A 27,045-nucleotide genomic window follows, 5' to 3' on the forward strand; every position below is an offset into this window, starting at 1 on the left:
TTGCGCATGTGCTTACAGTCCTGACGTAGGAAGGGGCGGGGCTTTGCCGAAGGGGGCGGGGCTCTCGCTGATGGGTTGGCTTTCGTCAGGGACATAGGTAGAAGCTGGTTGGGGAGTGTGCGTGCCAGCCTGACGCGATATAGTGCGCACATGCGTGATGACGTAGAGGGCGTTGATTGGGACCGAGTACAGGGCCCGCGCATGCGTGGATTGTCGTCTTCTGTCCAAGTTGGTCGCTTCCCTGCGCCAAAGGTAAGCGGGCCGTTATCCATTTGTGTTGTTCGCCAGCTAGGCCTGGCCTCGTCCCGCTTCGCTCGGTCGGTCTCGCGCGCCCCCATAGCCTTGCTAGAGGGTTAGCGTTAGCCTTAAGTGTGCGAATCCGAGGAGCAGCGACAGACTCGAGACCACGCTCCTTCCTCGGGAAGGAGGCGGCACCTCGCGTTTGAGGCCCGCCTGCGTTTGAGGCCCGCCTGCGCTTGCGGCCCGCCTGCGCTTGAGGCCTGTCTGCGTTTGAGATCTCATTGGGCGTGATTGAGGAATTTGGGGAGGTTTTTGGGCGGTATTGAGGACGAGGGGGTCCGTTAGTCAGCATAGAATCCTGGAGCGGGAATCCCTCACCGTCTAAATGGCGTCGGGGGCGGGACCTCCGGGATCTGGCTTCCGCGGGCCGCCGCCGGCCCTGAAACGTGAGGGATAGCTGAGATGAGGCAGCTACTGGGATGGCCCCCATGCGCATTTACATGCAGTCCGACTGCCGAGCTTTCGAGGCAGCAGGATTTACCGTCCACATTCCTCACTACTAACCAAGCTTTTAGAACAGATCTCACAAGAACCTAGAGGTCGGTATTTTTTCGATTTAAATTTGCCTGTTACTGACGTTAACGTCTTTCGCCTAGTGAGCAGTAGCCAACATGTCAGGGTGGGAGTCATATTACAAAACCGAGGGCGATGAAGAAGCAGAGGAAGAACAAGAAGAGAACCTTGAAGCAAGTGGTAAGTGACTTCAGCATGTAGTGCCATTCGGTGTGTGGAAGAAAGACCTTCCCTGCCTATCTCTGCTGGATGGACTTTGCTGTTTGATGGCCTGCCCTTCTCCTCCCAGATAATTCTGAAATTCTTTTCTTCCTTTGAACTTCGCAGAGCTACCCTAGGCTCTTATATGCAGATCTTACTCTAGTGTGCCCTAAGTTTTTTTTGGACACTGGTAGTTTGACATCTTTTGGTCCCTGATAAATGGCCATGACCATAGGTATTTTTTGTCATCTTAAGTGGTTCAGGTGAGACCCTTCTCATCCAGGAAAGTAGTGTTACCATTCCAGGACCTCAGTGTAAAAATGCCCCCACCCTGCAATAACTACACCAACCAAAGAATAAACGCAAGCAACACAGTTACAGGAAAGTGATTGATTCCCTCACTATAGCCTCCACGTTTGGGAGTGTATGTGCAGGCAACACAGTAACACATAAAACAAAGGAAGAGAAATAGGGGTACATGTAATCTTCATACTGGTTAATTTAACTCCTGAGCAGAAAAATTTTGAATATTTTTATTAAAAATGAGAAACGGCCAGGCGCGGTGTCTCAAGCCTGTAATCCCAGCACTTTGGGAGGCCGAGGCGGGCGGATCACGATGTCAGGAGATCAAGACCATCCTGGTTAACACGGTGAAACCCCGTCTGTACTAAAAAAAAAATACAAAAAATTAGCCGGGCGTGGTGGCGGTCGCCTGTAGTCCCAGCTGCTCGGGAGGCTGAGGCAGGAGAATGGTGCGAACCTGGGAGGTGGAGCTTGCAGTGAGCCGAGATGGCGCCACTGCATTCCAGCCTGGGTGACAGAATGAGACTCTCTCAGGAAAAAAAAAAAAGTGAGAAACATAGGAAATACAAAAAAGAAAAAAATTTGCTATAATCTACCACTCTAACACAACCACTACCAGCATTTTGACATTTTTGTATTTTTCTTTCAAGTATCTTTCAATATTTATTTCCTAATGAAATATATATATTTTTTAATTTTTTAATAGAGACAGGCTGGAGTGCAGTGGTGAGATCATCGTAGCTCACTGTAACCTCAAACTCCCGGGCTCAAGTGATCCTCCTGCTTCAGCTACCTCAGTAGCTGGGACTACAAGTGCCGCCAACTCCCAATAATTTCTTAATTTTTTGTAGAGACAGGATCTTGCTATGTTGATCAGGCTGGTCTCAAACTCTTGGCCTCAAGCGATACCCCCAAGCCTTGGCCTCCCAAAGTTCTAGGTTTATAGTCATGAGCCTCCATGCCCAGACTGTATCTGATTTCTTTTTCTTTTTTTTTGGAGACAGTCTTGCTCTGTCGCCCAGGCTGGAGTGCAGTGGCGCGATCTTGGCTCACTGCAAGCTCCGCCTCCCGGGTTCATGCCATTCTCCTGCCTCAGCCTCCCGAGTAGCTGGGACCATAGGCGCCCACCACCACGCCCGGCCAGTTTTTTGTATTTTTAGTAGAGACGGGGTTTCACTGTGTTAGCCAGGATGGTCTTGATCTCCTGACCTTGTGATCCGCCCTACTCAGCATCCCAAAGTGCTGGGATTACAAGTGTGAGCCACTGCGCCTGGCCTATCTGATTTCTTGTATTGTAACGATAGTGCATATACATTTATTTATTTATTGAGACAGAGTCTTGCTCTGTCGCCCAGGCTGGAGTGCACTGACTCAATCTCGGTTCACTGCAACCTCCGCCACCCCAGTTCAGGCTATTCTCCCATCTCAGCCTCCCAAGCAGCTGGGATGACAGGCGTGTGCGCCACCACACTCGGCTAATTTTTGTATTTTTAGTAGAGGCAGTGTTTCACCATGTTGGCCAGGCTGGTCTTGAACTCCTGGCCTTAGGTGATTCACCCACCTCGGCCTCCCAAAGTGCTGGAATTACAGGTGTGAGCCACTGTGCGTGGCCTATAGCTCATTTTAAATATACCATAATTTGGCCGGGTGTGGTGGCTCACACTTGTAATCTCAATAAATATACTGTAATTTGTCTGGGTGTGGTGGCTCACGCCTGTAATCCCAACACTTTGGGAGGCTGAGGCGGGCAGATCACTTGAGGTCAGGAGTTCGAGACCACCCTGGCCAACATGGCAAAACCCCATCTCTACTAAAAAATACAAAAGTTAGCTGAGTCTGTGGTGGCATGCACTTGTAGTCTCAGCTGCTTGGGAGGCTGAGGCACGAGAATTGCTTGAACCGGGGAGGCAGAGGCTACAGTGAGCTGAGATTGCAACACTGCACTCCAGTCTGGGCAACAGAGTGAAACTCTATCTCAAAAAAAATAAAATAGGGGCCGGGCGCGGTGGCTCACCTCTATAATCCCAGTACTTTGGGAGGCCGAGGCAGGTGGATCACAAGGTCGGGAGATAGAGACCATCCTGACTAACATGGTGAAACCCCGTCTCTACTAAAAAAATACAAAAAATTAGCCAGGCGTGGTGGCAGGCGCCTGTAGTCCCAGCTACTCTGGAGGCTGAGGCAGGAGAATGGCGTGAACCCGGGAGGCAGAGCTTGCAGTGAGCTGAGATTGCATCACTGCACTCCAGCCTGGGCGACAGAGTGAGACTCTGTCTCAAAAAAATAATAATAAAATAAAAAATAAGGCCGGGCGCGGTGGCTCACACCTGTAATCCCAGCACTTTGAGAGGCCGAGGCGGGTGGCTCACGAGGTCAGGACATCGAGACCATCCTGGCAAACACGGTGAAACCCTGTGTCTACTAAAAATACAAAAAAATAGCCAGGCGTGGTGGCAGGCGCTTGTAGTCCCAGCTACTCGGGAGGCTGAGGCAGGAGAATGGCGTGAACCCGGGAGGCGGAGCTTGTAGTGAGCCGAGATTGCGCCACTGCTCTCCAGCCTGGGCGACAGAGCGAGACTCCGTCTCAAAAATAAAATAAAATAAAATAAAATAGGTCAGGCACGGTGGCTCATGCCTGTAATCCCAGCATTTTTGGAGGCCAAGGTGGGCAGATCACCTGAGGTCAGGAGTTCAAGACCAGCCTGGCCAACATGGTGAGATCCTGTCTCTACTAAAAATACAAAATAAGCCAGGCGTGGTAGCGCATGCCTGTAATCCTGCTACTCAGGAGGCTGAGGCGGGAGAATCGCTTGAACACGGGAGGTGGAGGTTGCGGTGAGCCAAGATCGCGTCATCGCATGTTTAAGGTTCTTGACACACATTGCCATTTTGTTCTCCAGGAGACAGCTAATTAAACTTATTAAGAAGCAGCAGGCCATGCACAGTGGCTCACGGCTGTAATCTCAGCACTTTGGGAGTAGGAGGCTGAGGCAGGCTATCACCTGAGGTCGGGAGTTTGAGACCAGCCTGACCAACATGATGAAACCCCATGTCTACTAAATACAGAAAATTTGCTGGGCATAGTGGCACATGCCCGTAATCCCAGCTACTTGGAGATGACCAGACATTATATACCTTTTTAGGAAAAAATATGTTACTTATGATAAAGTCATGCTGAAGAAAGAAAACCTGAATCAGATTAAGCCTCTCTAGGTCCTTAGTAGGAAGGACAGAGGACTCTGTTAATCTACACCAAAAGAGGTCAATCGGCAGGCCAGGCAAGGTGGCTCATGCCTGTAATCCCAATACTTTGGGAGGCCACGGCAGAGGATCGCTCAAGCCCAGAAGTTCAAGGCTGCAGTGAGCTATGATTGCGCCACTGCATTCCAGCCTGTGTGAGAGAACAAGACTGTTTCTAAAATAATTAATTCAATAATTTTATTTTTTTATTTGAGATGGAATCTCTGTCGCCAGGCTGGAGTGCAGTGACTAATCTCGGCTCGCTGCAATCTCTGCCTCCCAAGTTCAAGTGATTCTCCTGCCTCAGCCTCCCTAGTAGCTGGAATTATAGGCATGCGCCACCACACACAGCTAATTTTTTGTATTTTTAGTAGAGATGGCGTTTCACCATGTTGTCCAGGATGGTCTCAATCTCTTGACCTTGTGATCCACATGTCTCGGCCTCTGAAGGTGCTGGGATTACAGGCATGAGCCACCGTGCTTGGCCATTTATTTATTTTTATTTTTTTTGAGACGGGTTCTCGCTCTGTCACGCAGGCTGGAGTGCAGTGGCGCGATCTTGGCTCACTGCAGCCTCTGCGTCCCAGATTCAAGCGATTCTCCCACCTCAGCCTCCATAGTAGCTGGGATTACAGGCATGCGCCACTACACGCAGCTAATTTTTGTATTTTTAGTAGAGATGGGGTTTCACCATGTTGTCCAGGATGGTCTCAATCTCTTGTCCTCGTGATCCACATGCCTCGGCCTCCCAAAGTGCTGGGATTACAGGCGTGAGCCACTGTGCCCAGCCAAAATAATTTTTTATTTTTTATTTATTTTTTTGAGACAGAGTCTTGCTCTGTGGCCCAGGCTGGAGAGTAGTGGTGTGATCTCTGCTCCCTGCAACCTCTGCCTCCCAGGTTCAAGTGATTCTCCTGCCTCAGCCTCCTGATTAGCTGGGATTACAGGTGGGCACCACCACACCTGGCTAATGTTTGTTTGTTTTTTTTTTTGTTTTTTTTTTTTGAGACCGAGTCTCACTCTGTCACCTAGGCTGGAGTGCAGTGGCGTGATCTCGGCTCACTGGAAGCTCCCCCTCCCGGGTTCATGCCATTCCCCTGCCTCAGCCTCCCGAGTAGCTGGGACTGCAGGTGTCCACCACCACGCCCAGCTAATTTTTTTTTGTATTTTTAGCAGAGACAGGGTTTCACCGTATTAGCTAGGATGGTCTCGACCTCCTGACCTCGTGATCCGCGCGCCTCGGCCTCCCAAAGTGCTGGGATTACAGGTGTGAGCCACTGCGCCCAGCCTAATGTTTGTATTTTCAGTAGACACAGGGTTTAACCATGTTGGCTAGGCTGGTCTCGAACTCCTGATCTCAAGTGATCCTCCCGCCTTGGTCTCCCAAAGTGTTGGGATTACAGGCATGAGCCACTGTGCCCCGCCTAATTAATTTTTTTAAAAAGGCAATCAGCAAAATTCAGAATGTGGAAAAGTGTATAACACAAAGCATCTTGGCTCTTCAGAAGATAAATTACAAGGGAAAAAAGAGAGGGTATCTGTAGATGAAGAGGCTTTAGAAAATTAAGTCAAAGCTAATGTTTAGAAATGTAGGTTTGGGTGATAAAATTATAAAGAAACGTAAGGGGTGGGTGTGTGGTAGATCATGCCTATAATCCCAGCTCTTAGGCCAGGGCGGGGTGGGGTGCGGTGGCTCACGTCTATAATCCTAGCACTTTGGGAGTCTGAGGTGGGTGGATCACCTGAGGCCGGGAGTTCAAGACCAACCTGGGCCAACATGGTAAAACTGCGTCTCTACTAAAAATACAAAATTAGCTGGGAGTGGTGGCGGGCGTCTATAATCCCAGCTAGTTGGGAGGCTGAGGCAGGAGAATCGCTTGAACCTGGGAGACGGAGGTCGTAGTAAGCCGAGATTGTGCCACTGTACTCCACCCTGGCAACAGAGCGAGACTCCGTCTCAAAAAAAAAAAAAAAAAAAAATAGAGGCCTGGTGGGGAGGATTGCCTGAGCTCAGAAGTTTTAGATCAGCCTGGGCAGTGTAGCACAATACCATCTCTACAGTAAACTTAAAAAATTAGCTGGTCATGGTGGCACACACCTGTAGTCCCAGTTGCTCAGGAGGCTGAGTCAGGATGATGGCTTGAGCCCAGGAGTTCGAGGTTGCAGTGAGCTATCATCGCGTCACTGCACTCCAGCCTGGGTGATGGGAGTGTGACCCTATCTCAGAAAAAAAAGTCAGGATATTGACTTTTTTGGGGAGGTGGGTGTTGTAATTGGGAGGGAATGTAAGAGGGATTTCTGGGGTGTCTGGCAAGACTCAATTTCCTGACATAGGTGGAGATTTTATGGTTGTTCACCTTATAATAATTTATTAGGTTATACTTTCCTTTATGGCCTTTATTTATCTTATATGGTAAACAAATACGAAAACAAGGACAAACATTTTCTTCCATTTTTTTCCCCATAGGAGACTATAAATATTCAGGAAGAGATAGTTTGATTTTTTTGGTTGATGCCTCCAAGGCTATGTTTGAATCTCAGAGTGAAGATGAGTTGACACCTTTTGACATGAGCATCCAGGTAAGACTACCTTTTAATTTAAGACAAATTTAAAAACAGTATTGGCTGGGCATGGTGGCGGCTCATGCCTGTAATCTCAGGACATTGGGAGGCCGAGACGGGCAGATCACTTGAGCCTAGGAGTTTGAGACCAACCTGGTAACATGGAGAAACCCCGTCTCTACAAAAAATACACAAATCATCCAGGTGTGGTGGTGCAAACCTGTAGTCCTAGCTACTCAGGAGGCCGAGGCGAGAGGCTTGCTTGAGCCCAGGAGGTCAAACAGAAAAAAGAAGTAGGCTCCTCCTCTTGCAGAGATGGAAGTATAAAGGAAGAAGGGAAGTTCCCACAGTTATAGTGTGGAAAAGAGTGAGTGATACTTGGGAGTTGACTACTGCCTGTGGTTGGGGAAGATGGCTACAATAAAAAGGCAACTTCAATTTTAAAACAGGCACAGGACTTGAAAAGACATTTCTCCAGCTGGGCGTGGTGGCTCATGTCTATAATCCCAGCACTTTGGGAGGCTGAGGCAGGCGGATCATGAGGTCAGGAGACCAGCTTGGCCAACATGGTGAAACCCTGTCTCTACTAACAATGCAAAAATAATTAGCCAGGCATGGTGGTGCGCTTCTGTAGTCCCAGGTACTCGGGAGGCTGAGTCAGGAGAATCTCTTAAACCCAGGAGGCGGAGGTTACAGTGAGCCGAGATTGTGCCACTGCACTCCAGCTTGGGCAACAGAGTGAGACTCTGTCTCAAAAAAAAAAAAAAAAAAAAAAAACAATTCTCCAAAGATATGCAGATGTCCAACAAGCACAGGAAAAGATACTCAGCATGTTTAGTCATTAGAGAAAGGCAAATGAAAACCATAATGAGCTACCACTCACACCCACTATATAAACAAACTAAAATTTAAAAAACACCAGCAGAAAATAAGTGTTGGCAAGGCTGTGGAGAAATTGGCGTGATTGACTGTACCTGACCTGTTCTTGTTTCTTTAAATTGAGGTTGTGTTTCATGTAACATAAAATTAACTATTTGAAAGTATACAATTCAGTGACACTTAACACATTCACAATGTTATGCAGCCACCACCTCTATCTTATTCCAAAACATTTTGAATGGCTAAACAGTGGCATATAGATATACATTCCATGAAAAGGAATGAATAATTGATACATACTACAAAGTAGATGAATCTTGAAAGTATTATGCTAAGTGAAAGAAGCCAGATACAAAAAGTCAAATATTGTATGATTTCATTTACATGAAATATCCAGAATAGGTAAGTTCTTAACGCAGAGGGGTGGTTGGTTACCTGAGGCACAGGGAAGAGAGGAACAGGGAGCAACTGCTCAATGGGTATGGGGTTTGCTTTTGGGGTGATGAAAATTTTTTGGAACTAGAGTTGGTAGTTGCACAACATTGTGAATGTTTGTGTGTGTATTTATTTATTTATTTATTTTTATTATTATTTTTGAGACGGAGTCTCGCTCTGTCACCCGGGCTGTAGTGCAGTGGCGTGATCTTGGCTCACTGCAAGCTCCGCCTCCCGGGTTCATGCCATTCTCCTACCTTAGCCTCCAGAGTAGCTGGGACTACAGGCACCTGCCACCATGCCTGGCTAATTTTTTGTGTTTTTAGTAGAGACGGGGTTTCACCGTGTTAGCCAGGATGGTCTCAATCTCCTGAAGTGATCCGCCTGCCTCGGCCTCCCAAAGTGCTGGGATTACAGGTGTGAGCCACTGCGCCCAGCCTTGTGTGTGCATTTATGCTTTTTTTTTTTTTTTTTTTGAGTTGGAGTCTCGCTCTGTCACCAGGCTGGAGTGCAGTGGCACAATCTTGGCTCACTACAACCTCTGACTCCCTGGTTCAAGCGATTCTCCTGCCTCAGCCTCCCGAGTAGGTGAGATTACAGGCACGTGTCACCATGCCCAGCTAATTTTTGTATTTTTAGTAGAGATGGGGTTTCACCATATTGGCCAGGATGGTCTTGGACCCCTGACCTCGTGATCTGCTCGCCTCGGCCTTCCAAAGTGCTGGGATTGCAGGCGTGAGCCATGGCACCCGGCCTTGCTTTTTTTTTTTGAGATGGTGTCTCACTATTGCTCAGGCTGGTTTGGAACTCCTGGGCTCAAGCAATCCACCCACCTCAGCCTCCTGTGTGGCTGGGGTTAAGGCATGTGCCACTATGCCTGGCACATTGTGAATGTATTAAATACCTCTTAATTGTTCACTTAGAAAATCTAAATTTCAGCTTAATTAAAAAGATTAGTGTTTCTTTTTTTTTTTTTTTAATTTATTTTTTTTATTGATCATTCTTGGGTGTTTCTCACAGAGGGGGATTTGGCAGGGTCATAGGACAATAGTGGAGGGAAGGTCAGCAGATAAACAAGTGAACAAAGGTCTCTGGTTTTCCTAGGCAGAGGACCCTGAGGCCTTCCGCAGTGTTTGTGTCCCTGGGTACTTGAGATTAGGGAGTGGTGATGACTCTTAACGAGCATGCTGCCTTCAATCCATTTAACCCTGAGTGGACACAGCACATGTTTCAGAGAGCACAGGGTTGTGGGGTAAGGTCACAGATCAACAGGATCCCAAGGCAGAAGAATTTTTCTTAGTACAGAACAAAATGAAAAGTCTCCCATGTCTACTTTTTTCCACACAGACACGGCAACCATCCGATTTCTCAATCTTTTCCCCACCTTTCCCCGCTTTCTATTCCACAAAACCACCATTGTCATCATGGCCCGTTCTCAATGAGCTGTTGGGCACACCTCCCAGACGGGGTGGTGGCTGGGCAGAGGGGCTCCTCACTTCCCAGTAGGGGCGGCCGGGCAGAGGCGCCCCTCACCTCCCGGACAGGGCTGCTGGCCGGGTGGGGGGATGACCCCCCCACCTCCCTCCTGGACGGGGCGGCTGGCAGGGCGGGGGGCTGACCCCCCCACCTCCCTCCCGGACGGGGCGGCTGGCCAGGCAGAGGGGCTCCTCACTTCCCAGTAGGGGCGGCTGGGCAGAGGCGCCCCTCACCTCCCGGATGGGGCGGCTGGCCTGGCTGGGGCTGACCCCCCACCTCCCTCCCGGACGGGTCGGCTGCTGGGCGGAGAGGCTCCTCACTTCCCAGATGGGGTGGCTGCCGGGCGGAGGGGCTCCTCACTTCTCAGACGGGGCGGCTCCCGGACAGAGGGGCTCCTCACTTCTCCGACGGGGCGGTTGCCGGGTGGAGGGTCTCCTCCCTTCTCAGATGGGGCGGCTGGGCAGAGACGCTCCTCACCTCCCAGACGGGGTCACGGCTGGGCAGAGGCGCTCCTCACATCCCAGACGGGGCGGCGGGGCAAAGGCGCTCCCCACATCTCAGACGATGGGCGGCCGGGCAGAGACGCTCCTCACTTCCTAGATGGGATGGCGGCTGGGCAGAGACGCTCCTCACTTTCCAGACTGGGCAGCCAGGCAGAGGGGCTCCTCACATCCCAGACGATGGGCGGCCAGGCAGAGACACTCCTCACTTCCCAGACGGGGTGGCGGCCGGGCAGAGGCTGCACTCTGGGCACTTTGGGAGGCCAAGGCAGGCGGCTGGGAGGTGGAGGTTGTAGCAAGCCGAGATCACACCACTGTACTCCAGCCTGGGCACCATTGAGCACTGAGTGAACCAGACACCGTCTGCAATCCCGGCACCTCCGGAGGCCGAGGCTGGCGGATCACTCGCGGTTAGGAGCTGGAGACCAGCCTGGCCAACACAGCGAAACCCCGTCTCCACCAAAAAAATACGAAAACCAGTCAGGCGTGGCGGCACGCGCCTGCAATCGCAGGTGCTCGGCAGGCTGAGGCAGGAGAATCAGGCAGGGAGGTTGCAGTGAGCCGAGATGGCAGCAGTACAGTCCAGCTTCGGCTCGGCATCAGAGGGAGACCGTGGAAAGAGAGGGAGAGGGAGACCGTGGGGAGAGGGAGACCGTGGGGAGAGGGATAGGGAGAGGGAGAGGGAGAGGGATTACTGTTTCTTTTGTGTACTTCGTAGAGAAGAATTTTCACAGATTTATTATATATCTCATGTCTCATAATTTTAGAATTTGGAACTGAACAGAAACTTTTCATGTTCTAATTTGTGTACAAATAGTTCTTGGTAGGCAGGGTGTGGTGGCTCACGCCTGTAATCCCAGCACTTTGGGAGGCTGAGGTGAGTGAATCACTTGAGGTCAGGAGTTCGAGACCAGCCTGGCCAACATGGTGAAATTCTGTCTCTACTCAAAATACAAAAATTAGCCGGGCATGGTAGTGCAGGCCTGTAGTTGCAGCTATTCAGGAGGCTGAGGCAGGAGAATTGCTTGAACTGGGGAGGTGGACGTTGCAGTGAGCCAGGATCACGCCACTGCACTCCATCCTGGGTGACAGAGAGAGACTCCATCTCAAGAAAACAAGAAATAGTTCTTGTAGTTGGCACACCAGAATATCTTGCACCAAAAAAAAAGAATAAGCTGGGTGTGGTGGTGTGCACTTGTAGTCCCAGCTACTCAGGAGGCCGGGGTGAGAGGATTGCTTGAGCCCAGGAGTTTGAGGCTGCACTGAGCTATGATTGTGCCAGTGAACTCTAGCCTGGGCAACAGAGTAAGACCCTGTCTCTTGGAAAAAAAAAAAAAAAGAAAAGGCTGGGCGCGGTGGCTCATGCCTGTAATCCCAGCACTTTGGGAGGCCGAGGTGGGCGGATCACGAGGTCAAGAGATCAAAACCATCCTGGCCAAAATGGTGAAACCTCGTCTCTACTAAAAATACAAAAATTAGCTGGGTGTGGTGGCGTGCGCCTGTAGTCTCAGCTACTCCAGAGGCTGAGGCAGGAGAATCGCTTGCACCTGGGAGGCAGAGGTTGCAGTGAGCCGAGATGGCACTATTGCAGTCCAGCCTGGGCAATAGAGCCAGACTCTGTCTCAAAAAAAAAAAGTGTATGTAAAATAAAATAATAGAACTATGAATAAAAACAATCGTTAATTTAAAGTGGTTCTCAAACAGAATTACTTGCAGGACATTAAAACACAGACTACAGAACCTTGCCCCACAATCAAAATTTCTGATTCTCTATGTCTAGAATGGGGACCAAGAATTTGCATTTCTAGTAAATTGTCAGGTGATGCTGATGTTACTGATTTGGAGACCATTACTTTGAAGAGCAGTGCTTTAACCTTTTTTAGACCGTGGACCTATTTTTTTTTTTTTTTGAGACGGAGTCTCGCTTTGCTGCCCTGGCTCTTGGCTCACTGCAAGCTCTGCCTCCTGGGTTCACACCATTCTCCTGCCTCAGCCTCCTGAGTAGCTGGGACTACAGGCACCCACCACCACACCCGGCTAATTTTTTGTTCTTGTTTTTTAGTAGAGATGGGGTTTCACCATGTTAGCCAGGATGGTCTCCATCTCCTGACCTCGTGATCTGCCCACTTCGGCCTCCCAAAGTGCTGGGATTACAGGCATGAGCCACCGCACCTGGCCAACCGTGGACCTCTTTGAGGATATGATGACAGCTACATACCTTCCCCTCAAAAAAGATAGTACTCACAATTCTACCTGTAATTTCAGAGAGTTAATGGAACCCTTGATGCCTAAAGACCTCAGAAGAAAATGTAGTGTTAGGTAGGAAGGAAATGAGACATTCATAGATGAGCACAATTTGATAACCGATAATAAGTATTCAGTAGTTGATAAGCAATAGAAAACATTTTCTAAAATTCTGTTTTAGTTTTTGTTTTTAATTTTTAGAACCTAAAAGGAGCCCTTACCAGATTCTTTTAAAAGTTTGTAGACTCCTCAGAGTAGATTAAAATATTTATGGAAATGACTACTTGCCATGTGGATTGTTGTCAGTGACTAGCTATAGTACATGTTCTGCATTTAAGGAGAGAATAGCTGTGGACGAAGGCCAGCTAGAGCTCAGGCAGGACATGGAGGGGATCACCATGGTTGGTTTATTCCTCAGCTTTGCAGGTTCCAAAACTTAATTTTTTTTTTTTTTTTTGAGACAGGGTCTCGCTCTGTCATCTAGGCTGGAGTGCAGTGGCATGATCTCTGCCCACTGCAGCCTTGACCTCCTGTGCTCAGGTGATCCTCCTGCCTCAGCACCCCTGAGTAGCTGAGTAGTGGGGACTACAAGCATGTGCATGCCCAGCTAATTTTTTTGTTTTTTGTAGAGACATTGTTTTGCCATGTTGCCCAGGCTAGTTTCAAACTTCTGTAGCAATCCTCCTGTGTTGGCCTCCCAAAGTGCTGGGATTATAGGCATGAGCCACTGTACCTGGCCCGAAGACTTAATTTTGTTAGTGCTCCAGAATTAGGTAGGCCCCTAGAACTGATGAACTCTCTTTTTTTTTTTTTTTTGAGATGGAGTCTCGCTCTGTTGCCCAGGCTGGAGTGCAGTGGCGCAATCTCAGCCCACTGCAACCTCCACCTCTTGGGTTCAAGCGATTCTCCTGCCTCAACCTCCTGAGTAGCTAGGATTACAGGCACGTGCTACCACATCCAACTAATTTTTGTATTTTTAGTAGAGTTGGGGTTTCACCATGTTGGTCAGAATGGTCTCGAACTCCTGACCTCGTCATCTGCTCGCCTTGGCCTCCCAAAGTGCTGGGATTATAGGCATGAGCCACCGCGCCTGGGTGAACTGATGAGCTCTTACAAGACCTGATGTACCAGATGCTGACATTAGTTTATATAGAGGGGTAGACCTTTCCTGTTACTGGAATACTGATGTCTTTAACTGGGTAGTTAAACAGTTTTATTTCAAGGATGCGCTTACTGGTAGTTATTGACTTATTTTCAGGTCACATGTACTTAAGCATTGTAATTATTTTATATAGTCATCCCTTGTTATTGAGGGAATTGGTTGCAGGACTCCCCGTGGATTCCAAAATCCGAGGATGCCCAAGTCCCTTAAATAAAATGGCATAGTATTTGCATATAACCTACACACATCCTCCCCTATACTTTAAGTCATCTATAGGTTACTCATAGTACCTAATACAATGCCTATGCATCACTTCATTCACATGGCTTCAATGTAGTACTTGGCACATGGCAAATTCAGGTTTTGCTTTTTGAAACGGGAATTTCTTTGTTTTTCCTGAATATTTGAGATTTGAGGTTGGTTGAATACATAGATGCAGAACCAGCAGATATGGAGGGCCAACTGTGTATATAAACTCTGTTTCCTGATACCAAGGTACTTGAAAGATCACATGACCTGTCCAAATTCAGCCAGTTAAGTAAGTGACATCAGTAGGACTCAACTCCAGGTTTTCTGATTCCAATGCTTTGCTTCGCCCCAACTCCCATAGCACAATTTCCTCCCTCTGATACTTCTTTTCCTTTTTTCTTGAGATAAGGTCTCACTCTGTTGCCCAGGCTGGACTGTAGTGGTGCAGTCTCTGCTCACTGCAGCCTTCACCTCCTGGGGTCAAGCGATCTTTCACCTCTGCTTCCCAAGTAACTGGGACCCTGTGCTGCCATGCCCAGCTAATTTTTTTGTTTTTTTTTGTTTGGTAGAGATGGAGTCTCACTATGTTGCCCAGGCTGGTCTCGATCTCCTAGGGTCAAGTGATTCTCCCACCTCAGCCTCCCAAAGTGCTGGGATTGCTACAGATGTGAGCCACTGTGCCTGGCCTGAATATACGTATTGTTAATTCTCTGATTTCAATGGCAGGGACTGCTTATACTTCTAATGTATACTTACTGCATTCTGGTTTTTGTTAAAATTTGATATTTATGCCCATTACTTTCACTGATTCATTACCCCTGAAGGTAGGGATCTTGCCTTATTTTAGTGCCATATACAAATTCAGTGCACATATTTTGAGCAACTAATAGGTACTGAGCACTTATGGAGCTTCCATTTAGTGGTAAGTAAATATTAATTGAATTTTTTTTTTCAGTGTATCCAAAGTGTGTACATCAGTAAGATCATAAGCAGTGATCGAGATCTCTTGGCTGTGGTGTTCTATGGTACCGAGAAAGACAAAAATTCAGTGAATTTTAAAAATATTTACGTCTTACAGGAGCTGGATAATCCAGGTCAGTAATATTTTAAGATCAGCTTTTCCCTTATATATGAGAATATCAGTACTCTGATCAAAGAGGACTGTGGAGAAGGAAGCAAGTTACATCTTGTCTAGGAGTATGCTTTCCTCCATAAGGGGACCTTGCTCGATGTGGACTTTGTTAAATGGGTTAAACAGCTCTGGGGTGAAAAAGGGTCCTTCTGTTAGTCTTGTGGTAAAGGCAGCCACTGACATTCTTCTGATTTTTCTTTCCATTTGACTCCCTGCCTCTGATCAGGTGCAAAACGAATTCTAGAGCTTGACCAGTTTAAGGGGCAGCAGGGACAAAAACGTTTCCAAGACATGATGGGCCACGGATCTGACTACTCACTCAGTGAAGTGCTGTGGGTCTGTGCCAACCTCTTTAGTGATGTCCAATTCAAGATGAGTCATAAGAGGATCATGCTGTTCACCAATGAAGACAACCCCCATGGCAATGACAGTGCCAAAGCCAGCCGGGCCAGGACCAAAGCCGGTGATCTCCGAGATACAGGTGGGCATATTTCCCCGTTCTCTTAAATTGGCACTTAATTATTGTTTTTTTATTTTTTATTTTTTTAGGAGTTCAGGAGTCTTGGCTCAGCCTCAGCCTCCCAAGTAGCTGGGACTATAAGCATGTGCTGTTGTGCCCAGTGCAGTTTTATTGCTTTCTGTGTACCTGACTTCAGGCATGTGCTTTTTACCATTTAGAATAAAATAAAAAAATAAAGTGAAGCCAGAAGATGCCTGTGTAACATTAACACTGCAGATGGCCATGCCATTAGCTGTCTAAAGGACTCTGTCAGAACAAGATTGTCTTGATTTTTTTTTTTTTTTTTTTTTTTGAGACGGAGTCTCACTCTGTCCCCCAGGCTAGAGTGCAGTGGCACAATCTTGGCTCACTGCAACCTCCGCCTTCCAGATTCAAGCGATTCACCTGCCTCAGCCTCCCAAATAGCTGGAATTACAGGCATGAACCACTGTGCCTAGCTAATTTTTGTATTTTTAGTAGAGATGGGGGTTTCACCACGTTGACCAGGCTGGTCTCGAACTCTGGACCTCAGATGATCCACCACCTCGCCCTCCCAAAGTGCTGGGGATGACAGATGTGAGCCACTGTGCCTGGCCAGTTGTCTTGACTTTAATATTACCACGAATGGTGATTATTTGAAAAGTTGTCTGAAGTCATTATAGCAGTTGGTTTCCTTAGTCACTTTTTCTAAGTCCTGAAAATGTTAATAGTCTAGTTTTCAGGGAGCTTTTAAAAGCATGTTTCAGTTTTAACTGAAAGAACTTCTCACTTGCTGAAAATTGTTTTTTCCTCCCTCACTTTTGTTTACCCTTGCAACAGGCATCTTCCTTGACTTGATGCACCTGAAGAAACCTGGGGGCTTTGACATATCCTTGTTCTACAGAGATATCATCAGCATAGCAGAGGATGAGGACCTCAGGGTTCACTTTGAGGAATCCAGCAAGCTAGAAGACCTGTTGCGGAAGGTTCGCGCCAAGGAGACCAGGAAGCGAGCACTCAGCAGGTGTGCACTCAGCCCGGGTCAGCTGCCTACACTGCCCTTAAATCAGAAGCAGGCTGGGCGCGGTGGCTCACACCTGTAATCCCAACAGTTTGGGAGGCCAAGGCAGGCGGATTGCTTGAGCCTAGGAGTTGAGACCAGCTTGGGCAACATGGCAAGACCCTCTCTCTACCTAAAAAAAAAAAAAAAAAAATCAGAAGCAATGCACTGCTACACATTGCTTAACAAACCAGAAGCAATACATTGCTCTGACCTGACTGGCTACTTAACTCGACTATGCCACTGCCTCACTGTCTTCCTCTAAAATAGTTTATTTCAGGATAGCAGAAGCTATTTGCTGCTTTATCTCTGGCAAGAGCTGGCATGATATTTCTCTAAAGTAACACAGCCCTCCATTTCGTGGGGGTAGACAGTTATGGTCTAAGAGTATCCTTAGCTGTACTCACTAGTACAGTCATGTGTTAATTAATGATAGGGATACCTTCTTAGAATTGCGTCATTAGGCGATTTTGTCATTGTGCAAACATAGAGGGTACTTCACACACCCAGAGAGTACAGCTTGACTACACACCTGGGCTGTGTGGTTAGCCTGTTGCTCTTAGGCTACAAACCTGTATAGCATATTACCATACTGTTTACTGTAGGCAATGGTAAGTATTTGTGTATCTAAATGTATCTAAAGGTATAGAAAAGGTACAATAAAAATATGATATAGGCCAGACACGGTGGCTCACGCCTTGTAATCCCACCACTTTGGGATGCCGAGGCGGGTGGATCACAAGTTCAAGAGATTGAGACCATCCTGGCCTACATGGTGAAACCTTGTTCTCTACTAAAGATACAAAAATTAGCTGGACGTGATGGCGCGCGCCTGTAGTCCCAGCTACTCAGGAGGCTGAGAATCGCTTGAACCCAGGAGTCAGAGGTGGCAGTGAGCCAAGATCATGCCACTGCACTCCAGCCTGGTGACAAAGTGAGACTCCGCCTCAAAAAAAAAAAAAAAAAAAAAAGAAATATGGTATAAAGATAAATGGTATACCTGCATAGGGCACTTACCACGAATGGAACTTACAAGACTAGAAGTGGCTCTGAGTGAGTAGTGAGTGAAAGTGAAGGCCTAGGACATGACTGCATACTTTTATATAACTGGCAGCACAGTAGGTTTGTTTACACAGCATCACTACAGATGCATGAGTGATGCCTTGTGCGACAAACTTACGACAGCTATGATGTCAGTAGGTGACAGGAAATTTTGAGCTTCATTATCATCTTAACAGACCATCATTGTATGTGCGCCCTATTGTTGACCAAAATGTTAGTGGTGCATGAGTGTGCATTATTTGCTTTATTCTTCTCTGTAAATTGGTGACAACAATACCTGCCTCATTAGGTTACTGTGAAGAGTTAGTGAAGAGCACAAAACAGAGCCTGTTAGGGAGCAAAAACTCATAAATGTTAGTTATGATCATTGTTAAAATTGTGTCATTCTGATTTCTTATAAACCTGAGACCAATGGGAACCAGATTGCTAGATTCTTTTTCTTTTTTTTTTTTTTTTTTTTTTTTTGAGACAAAGTCTCACCCTGTTGCCCAGGCCAGAGTGCAGTATGATCACAGCTCACCTTAGCCTCGACCTCCTGAGCTCCAGTGATCGCCCCATATCAGTGTTCTGAGTAACTGGGACCACAGGCGTGTGCCACCATGCTCTGCTGATTATTTTTTATTTTTATTTTTATTTTTTGTGAGATGGGGTCTCACTGCTTTGCACAGGCTGGTTGCAAACTCCTGGGCTCAAGAAATCCTCCCATTTAGGCCTCCCAATGTGCTGGGATTACAGGCGTGAGCTACCATGTGTCCATGTGTAGCCTAGATTCTCTCTCTTTTTTTTTTTTTGAGATGGAGTCTTGCTCTTTTGGCCGGGCTGGAGTGCAGTGGTGCGGTCTCAGGTCACTGCAAGCTCCGCCTCCCGGGTTCATGCCATTCTCCTGCCTCAGCCTCCTGAGTAGCTGGGACTACAGGCGCCTGCCACCACACCCGGCTAATTTTGTATTTTTAGTAGAGACGGTTTCACCGTGTTAGCCAGGATGGTCTCGATCTCCTGACCTCGTGATCCGCCCGCCTCGGCCTCCCAAAGTGCTGGGATTACAGGCTTGAGCCTCTGCGTCCGGCCTAGATTCTGTTTTTTTTAGAGAGCCTTGATATTAGAATCCTAAAGGTTACTCATTGTTTCTTCCTAAAGACCTACAGCCTTTTATTTATTAAGAGACGGTGTCTCACTCTTGCCCAGGCTGGAGTACAATGGCACCACAGCCTACAACTCCTGGGCTCAGGCAGTCTTCTGTGGTCTTCCTGTCTCAGCCTCCCAAGTAGCTTTTTTTTGAGACAGAGTCTTGCTCTGTCGCCCAGGCTGGAGTGCAGTGGCGTGATCTCAGCTCACTACAAGCTCCGCCTCCCGGGTTCATGCCATTCTCCTGCCTCAGCCTCCCGAGTAGCTGGGACTACAGGCACCCGCCACCACGCCGAGCTGATTTTTTTGTATTTTTAGTAGAGACGGGGTTTCACCGTGTTAGCTAGGATGGTCTTGATCTCCTGACCTTGTGATCCACCCGCCTCAGCCTCCCAAAGTGCTGGGATTAAGGGCGTGAGCCACCACACCCTGCCCCAAGTAGCTTTTTTTGTAGACTTGGGGCTCTTGGTATGTTAACCAGGCTGGTCTGAGACTCCTGGCCTCAAACGTTCCTCCTCAAGCTTTCATTCTGGAGTGGTTTCCTCAGTATAGGGGTCCATGACCTTTGGTAACTTTTAAGCAGTTTTTAAGAGTTTACTGACAATTCTACCAGAAAACCCAAGAAATTTTTTTGAGGAGACCTTGAATCACTCATTGCCACAGTTGTAGTTTTGTCATTGTTCTCCTTTTCCTCTTGGAAACTATTTTTCTTTCCTCAGACAAGTATCTTGTCACCTCTTCACCTGTCTTGAAATGATGCGATGTTGTTTATACTACAGTTTGGAAGTCTACTACACATTTTGGTGGAGATGGATGGGGAGGATAGAATAGTGGGTAAATGTAGGCCTTGTTGTCAGATTGTTTGGATTCTAGTCCTGGTCCCTTTGCTATGCGACCTGACTTCTCTGAGCCTTAGTAAAATGGGAGCAAAAAATGGTACCTCCTTGGGTAGGTGCAGTGGCTCACGTCTGTAATCCCAGCATGTTAGTAGGCCGAGGCAGGAGGATTGCTTGAGTCCAGAAGCAAGACCAGCCTGGGCAACCCAGGGAGACCCTGTCTCTCTTTATTAAAAAAATTAAAAAACTGTACTTTCACATAGGATTGCCGTGAGCATTAAATGAGATAACCTAGGCATAGTGCTTGGCCCGTGGTAATTATTTATAAATGTTAGCTGTTCTTATTTTGTGGAACAGTCATTGTAGGATGGATACTTGATATAAATAATAATAAATTGGAGATATTGAGAACTAACAATGCCTTAGGGCTAAGGCCTAGAAAAATATTAAACTTACGCTTTTTAAAAAATTTTTAATTTTTGTGGGTACATGGTAGGTGTATATACTTATAGGATCCATGAGATATTTTGGTATAGGCATGCAATGCGTAATAATTACATCAGCATAGATGGGTTATCTATCACCTTAAGCACTAATCCTTTGTATTATAAGCAATCTGATTATACTCCTTTAGTTATTTTAAAATGTACTGTTATTATTGACTATAGTCACCCTGATCTGCTCTAAAGTATTAGATCTTATTCATTCTTTCTATTTTTTGTACTCATTAACCATCCCCACTGCCCCATCACTACCCCCTTACCCTTCACAGCCTCTGGTAACCATCCTTTTCTGTGTCCATGAGTTCAATTGCTTTACTTTTTATCTCCCAGAAATAAGAACATTCAAAGTTTGTCTTTCTGTGCCTGGCTTATTTCACTTAACATAGTGAAACAACATTGCATAGTGAATGCAACAACATTTATGTTGTTACCAATGACAGGATCTCCTTTTTTTTTGAGCCTGAGTCTTGCTCTTGTTGCCCAGGTTAGACTGCAATGGCGCGATCTCGGCTCACTGCAACCTCTGCCTTCTGGATTCAAGCAGTTCTCCTGCAGCCTCCCAAGTAGCTAGGATTACAGGCATGCACCACCACGCCCGACTAATTTTGTATTTTTAGTAGCGACACAGTTTCACCATGTTGACCAGGCTAGTCTCGAACTCTGGACCTCAGGTGATCCACCTGCCTCAGGATCTCATTTTTTATGGCTGAATAGTACTCCATTGTACTACACTTTCTTTATCCATTCTTCTTTTGATGGACACTTAGGTCGCTTCCAAATCTTGGCTGTTGTGAATAGGGCTGCAATAAACATGGGAGTGCAGATATCTCTGATATACAGATTTCCTTTCTTTGGGGTGTATACCTAGCAGTGGGATTGCTGGATCATACAGTAGTTTTCTTTTTAGTATTTTCAGGAACCTCCAACCATTTTAACTGAGGTGAGATGATATCTCAGATTATGTTAGAGTTTTTTCCTGTAGAGTTGTTTGGGTTCCTTATATATTCTGGTTCTTAATCCCTTGTCAGATGGATAGTTTCCAGATATTTTCTCTTCTCTTTGTCGATCATTTCCTTTGTTGTGCAGAAGCTTTTTAACTTGATGTGATCCTATTTGTCCGTTTTTGCTTTGGTTGCCTATGCTTCTGGAGTATTACTTAAGAAATCTTTGCCAAGCTCAATGTGCTGGAGAATTTCCCGGTATGATTTTGTGGTTCCACATACATTTTAGGATTGTTTTGTCTATTTCTGTGAAGAATGTCATTGGTATTTTGATAGGGATTACATTGAATCTGTAGATTGCTTTGGGTAGTCTGGGCATTTTAACAATATTTAAACTTACTGTAGCAATCTATAGAGTGAGACCCTGTCTACAAAAAAAAATAGTTACTTTTGAAGATTGTGCAGTTTTGTAATTGGTTGCATTTATCGTCAACTCTCCTTCAAGCAGCCTTTAGACACTGATTTTCACATCTAAGAAGCCACCAAATGGTTGATGTTGTTAGTAATGCATCTGTTACCAACACTCATCTGTGAGTCACATCATGCATTTCCAAGTTGATCTGAAGGTATATTAGGTGCTTGCCCCAGGAACCAAAATTTCTATTTGTGGCTCTGCTCAAAACCAGTGTTGTCTCCACGGTGTGAACCTGTATATCTTCGAACTATACAGACACTTGTCTAAACATGTTCTTTTCTTTAAATACTGCTAGGTGTTCCACAACAGTGAAGATTTGGTTATTGGAGACTGTTCTTTTCTGATAAAAGTGTTATAGCTGGCCGGGTGCGGTGGCTCACGCCTGTAATCCCAGCACTTTGGGAGGCCAAGGGGGCGGATCATGAGGTCAGGAGTTCGAGACCAGCCACACCAACATGGTGAAACCCCGTCTCTACTAAAAATACAAAAATTAGCCAGGCTTGGTGGTGGGCGCCTGTAGTCCCAGCTACTCAGGTGACTGAGGCAGGAGAATCACTTGAACCCGGTTGGCGGAGGTTGCAGTGAGCCGAGATCACACCACTGCACTCCAGCTTAGGCGACAGAGCGAGACTCCATCTCAAAAACAAAAGAAAACAAAAAAGTGTTAAAGCTGTAAATTTGTCTCTGAGCATGGCTTTAGCTGCATCGTATACATTTTGATATATTGTGTTTTTACTTTCATGCAGTTCAAAATAATTTTAAATTTTCTGGCCGGGCGCGCTGGCTCATGCCTGTAATCCCAGCACTTTGGGAGGCCGAGACGGGTGGATCACCTGAGGTCAGTAGTGCCAGACCAGCCTGGCCAACATGGCGAAGCACCGTCTCTACTAAAAATACAAAAATTAGCTGGGCGTGGTGGTGGGCACCTGTAATCCCAGCTACTCAGGAGGCTGAGGCAGGAGAATCACTTGAACTCGGGAGGCGGAGGTTGCAGTGAGCTGAGATTGCGCCACTGCACTCCACCCTAGGCGACAGAGTGAGACTCCATCTCAAAAAAAAAAAAAAATTAGCTGGGCGCAGTGGCATGTGCTTGTAGTCCCAGCTACTTGGGAGGCTGAGGCAGGAGAATCTCTTGAACCCGGGAGGCGGAGGTTGCAGTGAGCTGAGATTGCGCCACTGCACTCCACCCTAGGCGACAGAGTGAGACTCCATCTCAAAAAAAAAAAAATTAGCTGGGCGCAGTGGCATGTGCTTGTAGTCCCAGCTACTTGGGAGGCTGAGGCAGGAGAATCTCTTGAACCCGGGAGGCGGAGGTTGCAGTGAGCCGAGATGGCGCCACTGCACTCCAGCCTGGGTGACAGAGCAAGACCCTGTCTCCAAAAAAAAAAAGAAAAATGTTTTCCTCGTGATTTCTTCTTGGGTTTTTTATAAGTGTATTGTTTAATTTTCAAAAATTTCAGGTTTTCCCACATTTCTTTCTGTTGTGGACCTCTAACTTAGCTCCATTGTGGTTAAGGAACATACTTTATGGGATTTCAACCTTTTTCCATGTACTGAGACTTGTTTTGTGGCCCAACATATGATCTCTCCTAGAGAATGTTCTATGTGCTTGAGAAGAATGTGTATCATGGGTTATTTTACGTTCTTTTTTTCCCCCATAATATAAGAATTTTTTGCATATTGTAAATATATGTGTACATTGTTATTATTGCAGAACACATTTTCTTTTTTTGGAGATGGAGTCTTGGTCTGTCGTCCCAGGCTGGAGTGCAGTGGCACGATCTTGCCTCACTGCAACCTCTGCCTCCTGGGTTCAAGCAATTCTCCTGCCTCAGCCTCCATAGTAACTGGGACTGCAGATGCACACCGCCACGCCTGGCTAATATTTTTTTGTATTTTAGTAGAGATGGGGTTTCACCGTGTTGCCCAGGCTGGTCTCAAACTCCTGAGCTCAGGCAATCCGCCCGCCTCAGCCTCCCAAAGTGCTAGGATTACAGGCATGAGCCACTGCACCCGGCCTGCAGAACACATTTTCAAGAGGTCCTGTTGCTGCTTAAGCTGTTGGTATAAGTGCTCTGGAGTAATATGTCATGATGGAAAAGTACATGAGCTTTGAAACAGGGATACTTGAGTTTGAATATGGATTTTTATTGTGTGTCCTTGGGCAAGTCATGTAACTTCTCTGAGCCCTCACTTATAGAAGGTCAATAATAAGGTTCTTGAGTGGCAAGCAATAAAAACTGACCTTGAGCTGGGGGCTGTGGCTCACACCTGTAATCCCAGCACTTTGGGAGGCCGAGGCGGGCGGATCACCTGAGGTCAGGAGTTTGAGACCAGCCTGACCAATATGGAGAAAGCCTGTCTCTACTAAAAAATACAAAATTAGCCTGGTGTGGTGGTGGGTGCCTGTAATCCCAGCTACTCGGGAGGCTGAGGCAGGAGAATCACTTGAACCCGGGAGGTGGAGGTTGCAGTGTGGAGATCGTGCCATTGCACTCCAGCCTGGGCAACAAGAGCGAAACTCCATCTTTAAAAAAAAAAAACAAAAAACAAAAAAAAACAAACAAAAAAGGCTGACCTTGACTAATTTCAGCGTATGAGTCAAATAATTAGTTCTAGGAATCTACGTAGCAGGAACTAATGACAGTGTCTTTAGGGTGCCATTATGAGAAGAAAGTATCCTCTGGAATCACATCCTTTCATGGCCACTGCTCAGAGACCCCGACTCTCAGATGAGAACGTCCTATGGCCTTCTCCAGGGTCAGATATGCCCACCACTTGGCCAGAAGAAGGCACAGCAACTTGAGTTTGACTAACATTCTCCCAAAACTGTAGTCGGGGAAGGGTAATTCCCAAAGAAAAATTGGGGTGTTTTTTTGTTTTGTTTTGTTAAGTAACCCTTATTTTGATGGGGCTTTATTCTTTCTTCTTTTTTTTTTTTTTTTGAGATAGAGTCTCGCTCTGTCGCTAGGCTGGAGTGCGGTGGCACGATCTTGGCTCACTGCAACCTCCAACTCCCTGGTTCAAGCGATTCTCCTGCCTCAGCCTCCCGAGTAGCTGGGATTATAGACTGTGCGTGCGCCACCATGCCTGGCTAATTTTTGTATTTTTAGTAGGGATGGGGTTTCACCATGTTGGCCAAGCTGGTCTCGAGCTCCTGACCTAGGATTACAGGCCTAAGCCACCGCACCCGGCATGATGGGTCTTTATTCTTCAAAGCAGGAGGAAGGGATCCTAGAAAAACAGAGACAAGGCCAAACATGGTAGCTCACACCTGTAATCCCAGCACTTTGGGAGGCCAGTGCGGGTGAATCACGAGGTCAGGAGTTCAAGACCAGCCTGGCCAACATGGTGAAACACCGTCTCTACTAAAATAAAAAGAAATTAGCTGGGTGTCGTGGCAGGTGCCTGTAATCCCAGCCACTTGGGAAGCTGAGGCAGGAGAATCGCTTGAACCCGGGAGGTGGAGGTTGCAGTGAGCCGAGATCACGCGACTGCACTCCAGCCCAACCAATAGTGTGAGACTCTGTCTCGAAAAAAAAAAAGCAGAGACAAGACAACTAGTACAGTACTTACAGGGTTATTATGATGATTAAATGAGAGAATAGCTGTGAGGTGATTGATATAGTGCTGTGCTTAATACAAACTATCATTTTATTATACGGGTTGAGTGTTTCTAATCTGAAAATCCAAAATTAGAAATGCTCTACAGTCTGAAACTTTTTTGAGCACCGACCTAATGTTCAAAGGAAGTGCTTATTGGAGCATTATGGGTTGTTAGATTTTTGGGTTGGGAATATTCAACCAGTAAGTACTATAAAATGCAAATATTCCAAAAAAAATCTGAAATCTGAAACATTTCTGGTCCTAAGCAAGCATTTTGCAAAGGGATACGCAACCTGTAGTACGTTCTTTATCATTGTTTTAAGTAGTTAATATATTGTGGTACAGATTCTGAGGTGGTATAGCAAATTCGATTGTATTATTAAAAAGCATATTTATATTTTGAGAGCTTGCTTAGGATTATTGGAGAGAATAAAACAGTGAAGCTTTGGTGTTATGAGGGAATTTTAGATAGAAAAGTGCAGTTTTTCAGTTCATGCTCTTTCATTTTTTACTCCCTCAGGTTAAAGCTGAAGCTCAACAAAGATATAGTGATCTCTGTGGGCATTTATAATCTGGTCCAGAAGGCTCTCAAGCCTCCTCCAATAAAGCTCTATCGGGAAACAAATGAACCAGTGAAAACCAAGACCCGGACCTTTAATACAAGTACAGGCGGTTTGCTTCTGCCTAGCGATACCAAGAGGTCTCAGGTAGGTAGAGATGCCTTTTGTTGTTGTTGTTTTTGAGACAGGGTCTCATTGTGTCGCCCAGGCTGGAGTGCAGTGGGGCGAACATGACTCGCTACAGCCTTGACCTCCTGGACTCAAGCGATCCTTCTGTCTCAGCCTCCCAAGTAGCTGGGATCACAGGCATGTGACATCACACCCAGCTAATTTATTTATTTATTTATTTTTTAAGAGACTGGATCGACTGGGCACAGTGGCTCATGCCTGTAATCCCAGCACTTTGGGAGGCCGAGGCAGGTGGATTACCGAGGTCAGGAGTTCAAGACCAGCCTGACCAACATGGAGAAACCCCATCTCTACTAAAAATACAAAATGAGCTGGGCATGGTGGTGCATGCCTGTAATCCCAGCTACTCAGGAGGCTGAGGCAGGAGAATCACTTGAACCCGGGAGGCAGAGGTTGCGGTGAGCCGAGATCACGCCATTGCGCTCCAGCCTGGGCAACAAAAGCGTAACTCCGTCTCAAAAAAAAAAAAAAAAGAGACGGTGTCTCGCTATGTTGCCTGGGCTGGTGTCAAACTCCTGGTCTTAAGTAATCCTCCTGCTTTGGCTTCCCGAAGTGCTGGGGTGCTGGGATTACAGACATTGGCCACTGTGCCCAGCGTTTTTTTGTTTCGTTTTGTTTTGTTTTGTTTAATAGAGATGAGGTCTCACTATGTTGCTCAGGCTGGCCTCGAACTCCTAGGCTCAAGCAGTACTCCTGCTTCAGCCTCCTAAAGTGCTGGGATTATAGGTGTGAACCACCACACCTAACCCAAGATGCTTTCTTACTGAATTTTCTCCAACTGAAGAGTTAACTAGGAGGAGAGACATTGATCAGGCTGACCAGTTAAATAACTTTCATATGTGCATCTTTCCTTTCCTTCTCCTTCCCTTTCCTTTTCTTTTTTCTCTCTCCGACTCCCTCCCCTCCCCTCCCCTCCCCTCCCCTCCCCTCCCCTCCTCTCCCCTCCTCTCTTCTGTTTCTTTTCTTTCCGCTAGTCAAGTGAAGCAGTGGGAATGGAAAAGGAACAAAGAAATC

At 46.7% G+C, this 27,045-nt stretch overlaps 1 protein-coding gene across 5 annotated transcripts in view, besides 1 other annotated feature; it reads left to right on the forward strand.

Moving 5' to 3' along the window:
* The window catches only part of XRCC6 (X-ray repair cross complementing 6), a 42,747-nt gene continuing 15,903 nt past the window's right edge, over nt 202-27,045 (forward strand). The window contains exons 1-7 of one of the 5 annotated variants that reach the window (NM_001288976.2): nt 202-317; nt 897-993; nt 7,025-7,137; nt 15,020-15,158; nt 15,423-15,677; nt 16,515-16,698; nt 25,803-25,989. In NM_001288976.2, the coding sequence (NP_001275905.1) occupies nt 912-993; nt 7,025-7,137; nt 15,020-15,158; nt 15,423-15,677; nt 16,515-16,698; nt 25,803-25,989 (960 nt within the window). In that variant the 5' untranslated portion in view covers nt 202-317; nt 897-911. The remainder of the gene's footprint in view (nt 318-896; nt 994-7,024; nt 7,138-15,019; nt 15,159-15,422; nt 15,678-16,514; nt 16,699-25,802; nt 25,990-27,045) is intronic. The other 4 variants (NM_001469.5, NM_001288977.2, XM_047441304.1 and 1 more) reach the window with 4 other exon arrangements.
* Nucleotides 9,312-9,965: an enhancer, noted in NCBI's record as "NANOG-H3K27ac-H3K4me1 hESC enhancer chr22:42026409-42027062 (GRCh37/hg19 assembly coordinates)". NCBI's record gives its function as "activates a minimal SCP1, AML or CMV promoter by ChIP-STARR-seq in primed H9 embryonic stem cells {active_cell/tissue: H9 hESC(primed)}" and the evidence as "EXISTENCE:reporter gene assay evidence [ECO:0000049][PMID:30033119]".

The sequence above is a fragment of the Homo sapiens genome, chromosome 22 (assembly GCF_000001405.40).
Source record: "Homo sapiens chromosome 22, GRCh38.p14 Primary Assembly".
In the NCBI taxonomy this organism is placed as follows: Eukaryota; Metazoa; Chordata; class Mammalia; order Primates; family Hominidae; genus Homo; species Homo sapiens.